This window comes from Homo sapiens, chromosome 7, assembly GCF_000001405.40.
Source record: "Homo sapiens chromosome 7, GRCh38.p14 Primary Assembly".
Lineage (NCBI taxonomy): Eukaryota > Metazoa > Chordata > Mammalia > Primates > Hominidae > Homo > Homo sapiens.
The window spans coordinates 111,722,780-111,735,820 of record NC_000007.14 but is presented as its reverse complement, the minus strand read 5'-3'; the positions used below and the strand labels follow the sequence as shown (position 1 = coordinate 111,735,820).

General features: G+C 41.4%; 1 protein-coding gene across 14 annotated transcripts in view; it reads left to right on the top strand.

Annotated features, from left to right (window-relative positions):
- DOCK4 (dedicator of cytokinesis 4) overlaps positions 1-9,711 on the top strand; it is a 480,290-nt gene extending 470,579 nt beyond the window's left edge. For 10 of the 14 annotated variants that reach the window (XM_047421081.1, NM_014705.4, NM_001363540.2 and 7 more), the window contains 3 exons: positions 654-767; positions 3,534-3,595; positions 7,101-9,711. In XM_047421081.1, coding sequence (XP_047277037.1) covers positions 654-767; positions 3,534-3,595; positions 7,101-7,547 — 623 coding nt within the window. In that variant the 3' untranslated portion in view covers positions 7,548-9,711. The remainder of the gene's footprint in view (positions 1-653; positions 768-3,533; positions 3,596-7,100) is intronic. The other 4 variants (XM_006716189.3, XM_017012825.2, XM_017012823.2 and 1 more) reach the window with 1 other exon arrangement.

Sequence of the window (13,041 nt, the reverse complement as noted above, 5' to 3'; positions counted from 1 at the left end):
GTAAACCTCATTGCATAGTGGCTATTTACAACCAGCGTGTCCTGCCCTTATTCCTGCCAGGATTGCCCCATATTCCTGCATCTTATCGAAGCACAGAGCAGACAAATTACAAAATAAGAATGACACTGTCCATATTCCAAATCATTTTTTAAGGACATATTTCAGTGTAATTCATTGATTTCAGAAAGAGTTATCAATGAGATAATATTGCATGGCTGTTCTTTCCCAAGAATTCTGCCAAATAGTTAAAATATTAGTATGTCATTGCCTTCTCCATTTTTAGGTGTCACTTGTCCAGAAATGTCTACTAAAAGCCAAGTTTTAAAATAGCCCAGTGACTACATCTTCCATCTGTTATCCAGCATCTAAACACATTTGTAATTCTCAGCAAGTTTTACACCCCAGTGTAAAGATTTGTAGTTCCCTTTGACAGCATTAAGGGAAATAAAGAGACTTGTTAGCGCCCAGTTAAATGGTAACTATAACTGTTAGGCAGCCAATTAAATAAAGGTTTAGTATTCAAGAAGTTTCCTGTTTTGTTTTTCATCCAGTTAAGTTTTTCATTCTGGATAATTCTGACTTTCTTCTAAGATCTCAAGCATTGGAAGGGCAAAGCTGGACCGTGTGTTTTTAGCTGTGTTATTCCCTTCCAGCTGTGAACCCCACCCCTAGCAGCTGGAGCCTGGACAGTGGGAAGGAAGCCAAGAACATGTCGGATAGTGGGAAACTTATCTCTCCCCCTGTCCCTCCAAGACCCACACAGACTGGTGGGTATTTGAAGAATTTGAATGATCACTTTTATAAAATAACTTTTATTGACTACTCCAGTTTGTCCTGAATTCCTGAGAGAAAGGTAGGCGTTTGATTTCTGGGATAAAAACCTTAGTAGCTGCATAATTCCTTGACAATTGTCTCCCTCTTTCCTGAACTTCTATTACACGGGGTCAAACAGTGGTCTGTTCCAAGTAAGCCTCTCGGACAGATTTTATAGAGTGCTCTTTACCAAGCCACCATTCTCAAATTCGGGGAGGCACCCTAACCTTGGTAGGCCACTAGCATCTTCTCTAACCTTCACTTTGAACCACTTCATTCTTATCAACCTCCGCTAACTCAGCTACTTTCTTCAGTCTTATTCAGGACTGATGCCAAAGTTTCCAGTTGCCTCTAAATAGCCATTGACTAACAGTTACGCTCCATAAGCTTATCAGAGTCATTAACTTTGTATCCATAGTTATCTGTTGCTTTGAGAGGTCTTTATGCAAGGACTATATTTCGCAAAGGGTTGATTCAGGGTACCGCATCCCCTCAGGTGGTCGTTTAAGCAGCAAAATCTTGGCCAGGTGTTTTGGCTTATGCCTGTAATACCAGCATTTTGGGAGACCAAGGTGAGTGGATCACTTGAACTCACAAGTTTGGGACCAGCCTGGGCAGCATGACAAAACCCCGTCTCTACAAAAAATATAAAAATTAGCCAGGTGTGGTGGTACACACCTGTAGTCCCAGCTACTTGGGAGGATGGCTTGAGCCCAGAAGTCAGAGGTTGCAGTGAACCAAGATGGCACCACTGCACTTCAGCCTGGGCCAAATAAGGTAGTTCACACCTGTAATCCCAGCACTTTGGGAGGCCAAGGCAGGCAGATCACTTGAGCCCAGGAGTTTTGAGAGAAGCCTGTACAACATGGCAAAACCCCATCTCTACAAAAAAAAATGCAAAAATTAGCCAGGCATGGTGGCACACACCTCTAGTCCTAGCTAGTTGGGAGGCTTAGGTGGGAGAATTGCTTGAGCCCAGGAAGCAGAGGTTGCAGTGAGCCAAGATTGAGCCACTGCACTCTAGCCTGGGCAACAAAGTGAGACCTTGCCACAAAACACAATAAACTATGTGCCACCTAGTTTACTCTATACTTGTCAAAGCCAAAAGTCAAGTCACCAATAATTTTTGAGAGACATATGAGGTCTTCAAAGAAAACAAGAAATAACTTTAAGCTTATTGATCACCTGCATTAGTATATCAGTATGTGTACAGAGGCCTAAAACTTATCGGCCAAACTATTTGTATCTCATTCACGATGTACATATATTCAGGCAGTCTCCAATTTAAACCTGGTTGTGTCCCTAAAGTTGAGAACCTGAAAAGCATTTTTTAAGGAATAATATTGATGCAAATATGCTGTGGTTGCAGGGGCCACCATGGTGGTGTCAGCAACTGCCTGAGTCAGGAGGAAGAGGGTCCTAGGGAACAATCAACTTTCTACCACCGTTAAGGCAGGAACATAGTTCTCCGTCAGGATCAGCTTCTCCATACAGATGTGATTTTCTTCCATAATCAGCACCCACGATCAACAGGATAGGAGAACTAAGGCTGGTATTAGAATGTGACACGTGCTGACAGCATGCCCCAGCATTCAAGAGTGCAAGAGAGAGGCTGCACACTACCAGTGTGATCATGGAGCACTCTCACTGACCCCTTAGGACCCAGAGCACACAGATGACCTTACCCCTCCCAAGTTAACTGGCAGGGCTGCCATCCCTTCTGCACTGATTGCTCTCATGGTCTGTTCTTATGTCATCATCTGTGGTCACTGTTGTGGGGCTCTGTAACTGTCTTTCTTTCTTACAGCCTTTCAGTAGTTGTGAGTTGCAAACCTCACTGTGACAGCTGGGAGAGTAGCAGCTAATCACAGAGCGACATACCCAGAGTTCACCGAAACGTCTCTGTGGAATTGAGAAATGTGGCTGACTCTCACCCTGTTGACTGTGTCACGCCAGCCTTTACCATACAGGGCTATGCTTTAGAGAGCTGGATTTGCTATACAAGCATGCACACAGGAACAGTGCTATCACACATGCTGTGTTCCAGGTGTAGGACTTGAAAATCTAGTGAGAAAAAGCAAACAGTTCACTCTTCTTGGCCACGATGATGAAATCCATAGAGACCCACCACCAGGGGATAATGGGAAGACCTGAGTACAAGCATTAGGGGAAGAAATGGAAAACCATGCACCTGTTGTATGGCCATGGCCAAGGGTTTTCTACCTATTTGGGGAGTACTGGGGTTGTTTGGGGGGAGCTGATTAAATATGTTCCCGTAGACCTGTTCCAGGCTGCTGGGGTGGCCATGGTGTTCCCATTGGTGCTCACGCCAAAGTCAACAGCTGTTCCCCAAGAACTGCTCCCTAGCATCTCACACCTAAAAGCACCTTATGAGACAGATCAAGCAGTGCAGAAGCACCTGGACTTTGGGGAAACGGAAAGGACATTGGATCAGTTTGGGAACCTGTCAATAGTCAAAGCATCATATATGCCATGATAACTTTTCACTGATGCTCCCATATCTTGGCAGTGCCACCCTTTGTGAGAACCCATTCTAGACAGGCATCATTTAGCTTCTCCCCCATCCTCACCACCCCCTTTGCTTAGAAGGTCCTTATGCACTGGATCATCTGTTTGGGTTTGTAACACAGAGGGCATGTGCAGATAGTCAATCGTCTGGTTTTTCTTAATTGAAATGTTATCTCTCTCCCCATTGACAGCTTCACCAGCAAGACACACGACATCAGTATCCCCCTCGCCTGCCGGGCGATCTCCATTGAAGGTAAAGGCCCTTCTTTCGACTGAGGCTAGAGACTGGCCCAGTTTTCTTTTTCTCTAAGACTCATCCCAGATATATCAAAAGGTGCTTTAATTTGCAGGGACCAGGCAAAGAACTTATCAATCAGGGATAGGGGAAGCTGGTTGAGAAAAACAACACTGGACTTTCCCTTCTGGGTGCCTCCTGCACAAACGCAGCCATTTGTTTTTCGATTATTAGCCTCATTCTCCAAATGGTAGCAGTGAGAACTTGCAGACTGAAGTCAGTGCATATACTGAATTAGGAAAGGAATGTGGTCCTAATGTACCTCCTAGGAAACTTTCAGCCTGGCCTTTTAGTTTAAGGTACATCAAACACACACACACACACTTAGATTGAGAAACATCAGTATCAAGATCTACTAAATATTCTGTGTCTTTTTGCCTTTATCGTCAGCCAAACCCATTTTGTCAAAGCCAAACCTAACATTCTCTGTTAATATTTTATACCAAGTTTCTCATTTACATTAGAAATACATACTTGATCATGAAAAACAAGGCAGTAATATGGATTTAAAAGATTTCTAGGGAACAAACTGGAAAGCTGTAAAGGTCAGACATTCGAATTGGTTTGTAGACATGGGCTATTTAACATCTTTAAACATAAAAAATCCCTCATGAAGATAAAGAATAATATTTAGTCTTATCCAAATTGAATCAGACCGGCTTCAAGGATTGTCAGTACGTGAGAGATTGGTGTTCAGAACTGCTGCACCAGAGGCAAATATGAAGTGTGTCGAAAGAATGATTTTGTACCTGAGTGACTTAGGATTTACACGCTCCATGTCCTTTGTGTGATGAGCTAGTTCTAGCTAATGTGCAAAAGACAAATTAGCCTCTACAAACACATAGGGGCAGGTTGCGATCCAGTGCATCTGTGGTGCTAACGATAGTTGCTGATAGAAATTGAGAAACGGGAAAACAACCCGCCTCCCCCCGCAAAATGGAGAAAATTGAAAGAAGTGTGATTCCCTTGCATTGCCAGAATTTCTGACGTAGAAATTCGCGGGTAAGTGCAAGTGATTTGCTCGTTTTGTTCTCATTCTGTAATGCAGCTGTTATTATGAAGTACCTGTGACAGCATTCACTCTGGAAGTCATAGCCTGTCACCTCGATGTGATAGAAAGGAAAGCAACATGGCTTTTCCGCACTTTTACATTTGCCCTTACTCACACAGAGCTCCCACACGTTGCTATGGAATTATCATCTGTATTTTTCAACTTAAATTTTGTTGGGTAGTAAGAAAATAAGTCTTAAGAGATTAATTCTTAAACATTAAAAAGAACCCAAGAGCTAAAAATGTTTGAATAGCTATAAAATAGTCTTAGCAAGCTGGTATATACTGTCTCTCAGCAGACCTGTGTACATTTTTACTGGCCATATGCAGTTCGAAGCCATGTCTTTATATGTAGGGTTTGAAGGAAGAGAACATAGATCGAACATTTGTGTTATACCTCCTGGGTTACATTAGGGGGCACACTGCTACCATGTTACTAGCCTTGCAGTGTGCTGCCTTAACTGATAAGAGTTTAGTGGGGTTTTGGGTTTTTTTTTTACCCCAGCCAGCCATCAAACTGTGGGTCTAACCCTACAGCGAAGACTGAGCTGACCTGCCATATTTTGAATTTCAGGTCTAACTTTTGACAGAGGTAGCAGTGAATTGGGAACTCTTAATTGGCCTTAATGTTAGGCTCCTACTAAATGACAGGATGTGTATCTACCAGCGTTATTTTGTTTACAAAGAGAAACCAAAGTCAAGTTAGCTTAAGAAGATAGCATTTCTCAAAGTGTATACCATAGAACACTAGTTTTCCAGGACATTATGTAATAAGCGGGGGAGAAAAGGTCTATAGTCAAGTAAGTTTGGAAAACACTGGACTGAACAAAATTATTTGTATTCCTTTATTCTAAGCCTTGAAAATGCGAATATGTTTTGAATATACACAAGGAGTATACAGTGTGCAGCATTTCCCAGCGGAACCCTCTTTTCACAGAGCATCTATCTTAGGACTCGTTTTCCTTGGGATACTAGTTGGGAAAGTAACAAACTCAGATGCCAAATGGGGCCAGACAGCTGACACAAATGAAGGAGGCCGGGTGTAGTCCCCACGTGGCATAGTGGGGACTGGCAAAGTGAAAAGGGACAGCCCTTCTCAGCTTTTAAAGATTATCTCTATTAAGAGAATGTGTGCCATTGTGGCCAGAACTCCTAGTTCTTTATGAACTGCCAGAATTCTGGAGTTTCATGTGAAATTTGAAATGTTAAAAATTAACTAAATTAGGTTTTTAAAAAACTGCTGAGGAAACAGCTCACATCACAGGCTACAGCCCCGAGGGCTGCCAGTTCGCCAGTTCAGCTCAGGAGTCTGGAGTCTGGAGTGATGGCTGGAGAAATCAGGTGCAGAACCTCGGGTGCCTCTGCTCCTCCTCCTGAGCTCTCTGGGTCTTCTGAGCTGAGTGTGCTCAGCGGCCCTGGCTCCTGGCCTGCAGCATGCCCTGCTGAGCTGGGAAAGTGAATAGCGCCCCCAAAGGTTTTATGGCGTTTTTAGGTTTTTGGGGTTTTTGGCCAGTTCCCTCTCTTCCAAACTATAGGACTAATGTGTGCCTCCAGATTATCTTGGTGGATACCTTTATTTATTTTTTGAGACAGGGTCTCATTGTGTTGCCCAGGCTGGAGTGCACTGGTGGCTCCACGGCTCACTGCAGTCTCAACCTCCCAAGGTTCAGGTGATCCTCCCAGAGGAACTGGGATTACAGGCATGAGCCACCACGCCCAGCTAACCCTTTGGATTTTTAGTAGAAATGGGGTTTTGCCATGTTGCCCAGGCTGGTCTCAAGCTCCTGGCCTCAAGTGATCCCTGCATCGGCCTTCTAAAGTATTGGGATTACAGGCGTGAGCCACCATGCCCAGCTCCTTTCTCCTCTATCTGAAAATGATAAGGAGTAAACTGGGCGGTGAACTGAACTCGAGGACTGGTGGCCCTCGCAGATAAACGTCTGGTGTGCATTTTCAGTGCTACAAAGGACAACACTCAAATTTGAGTGTGAGTGTATTCGTCTGCTCGGGCTTCCCTCACAAAATACCACAAACTGGGTGGCTTAGACACTGGGAATGTATTTTCTCAATTCTGGCAGGTAGAAGTCCAGGATCAATGCGTGGCAGCCTTGGTTTCCCCGAGGCCTCCCTCCTGGGCTTGCAGACCGCCCTTCCTGCAAGGTCTGTGTGTGTCGCATTCCTGACGTCTCCCTGTGTGTCCAAATGTCTCTTATAAGGACACCAGTCAGCTTGGATTAGGATCCACCATAATGGCCTTTTACCTTAATCACCTCCTTAAAGGCTGCATCTCCTGCTGCAGCCGGCTTTGGGGGTGCTGGGGGCCGGGGCCTCCGCGTCGGGGCGTACATTTCAGCGCATCTGCGTTCACGACTCAATGCTGTGTCTCCCTCTCGTTTCCTTCTCCCCGGAGCAGGGCTCTGTGCAGTCTTTCACCCCCTCTCCAGTGGAGTACCACTCGCCAGGACTCATCTCCAACTCCCCTGTCTTGTCGGGCAGCTACAGCAGTGGGATTTCTTCTCTCAGCCGGTGCAGCACGTCGGAAACCTCAGGCTTTGAAAATCAGGTGAATGAACAGTCGGCCCCCCTGCCGGTGCCAGTGCCGGTGCCCGTGCCGAGCTACGGCGGGGAGGAGCCAGTGCGCAAGGAGAGCAAGACTCCGCCCCCGTACAGCGTCTACGAGCGGACTCTGCGGCGCCCCGTCCCGCTACCTCACAGCCTCTCCATCCCCGTCACGTCGGAGCCGCCCGCGCTGCCCCCCAAGCCTCTGGCAGCGCGATCCAGCCACCTGGAGAATGGGGCCCGGAGGACTGACCCCGGCCCGCGGCCCAGGCCCCTGCCCCGCAAGGTCTCTCAGTTATAAGTCACTTTTCTATGTACCTGCGATGCATTCTTTGCCCGTTTACAAAATAAGAAGTATGATGAGAAGACATTTAGTGTAGGCACTTTAATAACTTACTCAGCTCCTTCGATGAATGGAATTAAAACTTGCTTATTAAATATCATGTTGCACAATATTAAAAGTTGCTGATCTAAAACGCCAGATGTTAAATGAAGTATGGCTGAATTTCATTAAAACGTTTCTCATTTGGAAGTGGTAAATAGTGATAAAGACTCCTTTTGTACCTTTTTATGTTCACTTTTTTTTATATAGTTTAATCTTAAAACCAATACGATATTGTCAAACGATACAATGTGTGACAATGTTGTATCGTTTTTACTGAATACTTGATACTTGGAGAAAGCTTATTAAGTCAGTGCACATCCTAACACAGTGGTCCTTATTTTAGAAGACTTCTGTAAATAAGGCAAGGTTTATCAGTGCAGATCATCAGAATTAAAGTTCAAGCAGGCGAGCAAGACAGTATACTTAAGGGGTTGCAAAGCTTGGGACTGGAAATTGTTTTGTTCTTGAAACAAAATACTTCTTTAAGGTTGCTTTTGCTGTTTGACTGCTGTCTACATTCGTAAAATTCTATTTTGTGAATTGGTAGCTAAATCCCTTACTACCCTGACACCGTGGTATCTACTGTATTTCTTTTCAAGGTGCAATTTGCTTCAGAGTTCCAATCAGCTAGATTAAGCAAGAGGCTCCAGAAGAAATGTTTACTTGAATTTTGCGCTTCCTTTCTTGATAGTTTCCTATATAAAATTTGTCATTGAACAAGAGCAAATGCTGAAGTATTAATGAGGCACAAATGACTGTGCCCCATTAGCAAGAATTCAGGAATCAATACAGACAGTATTAAATTAATAGCTTAAGTGAAGAAAAAAAAAACTTAGTGAAAATGTATTAGCACGATTAAATGGCAAAAGGACTTATAAAAGGCAAGGGCATTAACTTTCAGTCCTGCACAAAATAAAAAATTCCTCACGACTCTCCACTTTTACCAGTGGAGTTTGTCTTAGCTGACCTGTCGTCTTTCTCTTGAAGGAGGATTGCTGTAGACTTCTCTAGCTTGAATATTGCAACATAGCATCTTAGGTCTAGATAGGGATGCTAATGCCAGTTGTAGAAGTGTGAAAAAAGCACCTTGTATGTAGTAATGTATTTTATATCTTTGTTTTTTCTTTTACTGACTGTTTATAACACTCAATTGACAATAGATATGAACTGTATTTTAAATCATACTGTTAAATATTTTCCCTCTTTTGTTGGGAAGCTCATTTTAGTTTAACCATGTTTGTTTTGTTGGTAGCTTACCTGGAAGGCAGTGACCACTTTTTTATATTCTCTTAATGAAACCATTCAGCAGGTATATGCTGTTGAGGCTGGTTATAGAGGTTTTCTATAATAAATGTTCAAGTATTTTTGTATATAACTGGTTAATTTTAATAAGAGATACCATTATGTGTAAAAAAAAGTAAAAATAAACGCAAACAGTTGTTGATGCAGTATGATTGTTATAATTATGCCAAATACTTTACGTATGGAAAAAGAATATTTGTACATATGTGCTTTTAACAATTCTGCCATATTGACTTTACAATTTTGAATGTCGGAAAAATTAATATATGTTAAATATTTATGTTTAGTGAAAGTGTTCATAATTGAGAAAAGGAACATATGCATTTTAGCTTTGTATCTTGCAAGTTTTGCAGTCAGAAATTTTTTGAACTAGCTTTTGCTTTTGATAACACTTCGTGTTTGTAACCACATTCATATATATATACATATATATGTGAAGCTCCATATTTCTGTTGCTTTAAAGAAGTAAAACCTTCCATTTAAATAAGATGACATGCATAAGATAACAAAGCTTCCTTGATTTCCTTTTCCTGTGTAATTTAATAGATTTGTTGACTAGTGCTTGGGCACATTATAAATCAGTGTTATTTGCTCTTGGAGCCATTTTTTAAAAAAAATTTTGGCAGTGAGCAGTTGAATTTATCTTGAATTTATCATGTGTGTGTATTTCTGAAGCAGCTACATAGCAGAACATTTTAAGAGATTCTGTTAGCCCACATGTTCATGTTGGTTGCTGCTGAATGGTAAATATTAAATAAAATTACCAGATTAATCTTAATATTTCTGTCTTTACTCCTATCATCAGCATGTCTTTACTTGTAATAGAAGCGGCTCTTGATCTTATTATAGTGAGATTTCCAGACTTCTTTTTAGATAGATCCTGTTTGTGTTGTCCTGCCACGTAGATGCATTTCACACTCACTACGGCTCACTTATGCCATAGGGAACAATCACCAGAAAGGTAACAAACAGTATGGGTTAATATCCCATAGAAAGGGTAACATTTACGTGGTTGGCTGACCATTCATTGGCCTAACCAGAGCCAACTTAACAAGTCAAACCATCAAAATGTGTTTGCATCAGAAAACTTGACATAAAACAGATAACTTCCAAGCATATAAGGGCATGGTTAAATGCTGGTTTTGACAGCTGTGGTAAAAATCTATCTGCATGCCAACTCTTCTCCCTGGTTTTCATAAAATGATAGAAAATATACATGTGACATACACTGAAAAACCCACTGACTACAAGATTTCGATTAATAAAGCCTGGCTTTTAACTTGGTGAAATGTGTCAATATTGTATAAGGTTGAAGACATTTATGTAACTCAGTGCCAAGAAAACCACTGTCTACAGCTTCAGCCTCGTAGAATACAAAAATCCATTTAAAGGCCATTGTCAGCTGGGCGCAGTGGCTCATGCCTGTAATCCCAGCACTTTGGGAGGCTGAGGCTGTTGGATCACCTTAAGTCAGGAGTTCAAGACCAGCCTGACCAACATGGTGAAACCCCATCTCTACTAAAAATACAAAGATTAGCTGGGTGTGGTGGCGGGTGCCTGTAATCCCAGCTACTCGGGAGGCTGAGGCAGGAGAATCGCTTGAACCCAGGAGGCGGAGGTTGCAGTGAACTGAGATCATGCCACTGCACTCCAGCCTGGGTAACAGAGCAAGACTCTTGTCTCAAAAAAATTTTAAAAAAAAGGCCATTGTCAGTGTCCTCCTGATTGTTTCTCAACATTAACTAAGTGACTTCAGAATATTTTTGGGTTATTTATATTACAACTGAACCCATCAGTATTTGGATTCTACAAGCACAATTACAATAAGAAGAGCTCAGTTTCCTACATAAGTAGGTTTCTCCCTGGATTGTTACTAATTGTTCTACAAAACACAACAAAGAGAATAACAAGTTGCATAGCTTTGCCTCTGTTTTATCTGTACACATTGAAAGGTGGTTTGTACTGAAATGAATTCTTACTTATTAAGCCCAACCCTCATTATGTAAGAATACCATATTAATCCCCACACTTTGGGAGGCTGAGGTGGGCAGATCACAAGGTCAAGAGATCGAGACCATCCTGGCCAACATGGTGAAACCCCATCTCTACTAAAAATACAAAAATTAGGTGGGCATGGTGCACACGCCTGAGTCCTAGCTACTCAGGAGGCTGAAGCAGGAGAATTGCTTGAACCTGGGAGACGGAGGTTGAGTAAGCTGAGATCGTGCCACTGCACTCCAGCCTGGCGACAGAGCGAGATTCCATCTCAAAAAAAAAAAAAAAAAAAAGAATACCATAAAAATAGGTTTGAAATATAACAAAATACCAATCCCCTGACATAACTATTAATACTACTTTTTACATATTCCTTTTGCCTTTTTCTACACATATATATTACATAGTTTTTCTAAATTGTTAACTGCTAGTTCCTCAAAAACACAATCATCAACACAATCTATTGACGATACAGGGCTGAGTTCATTGTTCCCTACCATAAAGGAGAGAAACCCACCTCAACAGAGCTTTGGTAGTGTCTTATGGCAAAGGGCAAGATCAGATTTTGTTGAAATTCTGGAGTTTTGTTTAAGGTGGATCTTTTAATGAGCAGGCTTTGAGTAGGATTGGGTGCAAATCACAGTATAATTGTTTAGGATGAATAGAAACAGCCAGGCAAGGATTTTAAGTGAGGGGGGTTCAGAGAGTCTTATTTCAGTTTTAGTGCCACCAGTAATATATTTTTATGGCAATTTTTTCAAGATTGGATATCAATGTGTGTTTACTTATTTAATATGTTGGTGGGGTGGGGGGGGGAATACTGCTACCTTACCTAAAGTTTGAGAAAAGGTTAATAAGTGAATGAAGTATTTTATTTATAGAATCTTGTGCTAAGGATATTGATATCCTGATAAAGGAAATGAAAAGGGGAGATGAAAAGAAAAGTAACAGGCTTTAAATTTAGGATGGCACCTACTAAAACACTTCATCCCAGAGAAGAGATTGCTAAGACATTTTAGATCCTATTTCTATAGAATACTAGAAAATCCCCAACATTCTGAACCCATGTATCACTTATCTAGAGTTTACCTCTGTCATTCACAATCAATTAAGGAGCCAAAAGCCTAGAAGTGAGGATGATGATCTGAACAACCACACTAAACAGCCCAGTCTGCTCACAGAATGAACAGTCTCCATCCAAGAAGATGAAGGCGATGAAGTGCTCATTGTGTTTGAACCTTACTAAAGGGAGACATACACTTTTGTAACAGAGTTAAGGGATGGGTGAGTTAGGTACCTAGAAAGCTGTGCAAGTGGAAAAAGCTAATAACTCCAGAAAGAACTGAAACCTTTTATACAAGAAAGTAAATGTAACTATACTATACTATATGAGTCAGCCATTTATCATATCTACATAGTTACGGAAATGTAAAACATAATTGATCTAGCCCCAAATTATCATATAATTATACTGGAAGGATGAGAGTAAAGGAATTCATGTATGTGGAGAATAAAATAAATTCTCATGTTCCATAAAGGGATATTAGTAGATAATGCATAAAACTTAATGACAATCAAAAAGTATCATAAAAGATACTTTTTTATTTAGAGATATAAGGTAAACATTAAGAAATAATTTTAAAAATTGAAAATAGTTGTCTCTGAGGAGTAAAAATGGCTGGTGACCTGGGATGTTGCAAGGGGCTCCTATTTTATGCAGAGGCTTTATAGAACTATATGCAAGTATGATGATGATGCATTTTAAGAGATTGAAAAAGAATTATACAATATTTGGATGCCACTACGCTGGTTTCACTTCTCTTGCTTATTTTTTTCTTTATATAAAAGAGCAAATCTGGATCTGGACCTGGTTGCAAACTCCGGATGTGGTTTTCAAGGAGGTCCAGATCCAGATCTGCTCTTTTACTTGTACTTCTGCACTACTAGTGCAGAAGTGATTAGCAATGAGACCAGCTACTTTTAATCCTATAAGTTTGTGAAGGGTTAAACAGTCAAGCTCTTCTTCTTTAGTAGCAGCAGTAAGGAGCCAATAGAAACAATTTTTATATAGAATTCTAAAAGGAATTTTACAGGTATTATTAACAGTTTACAA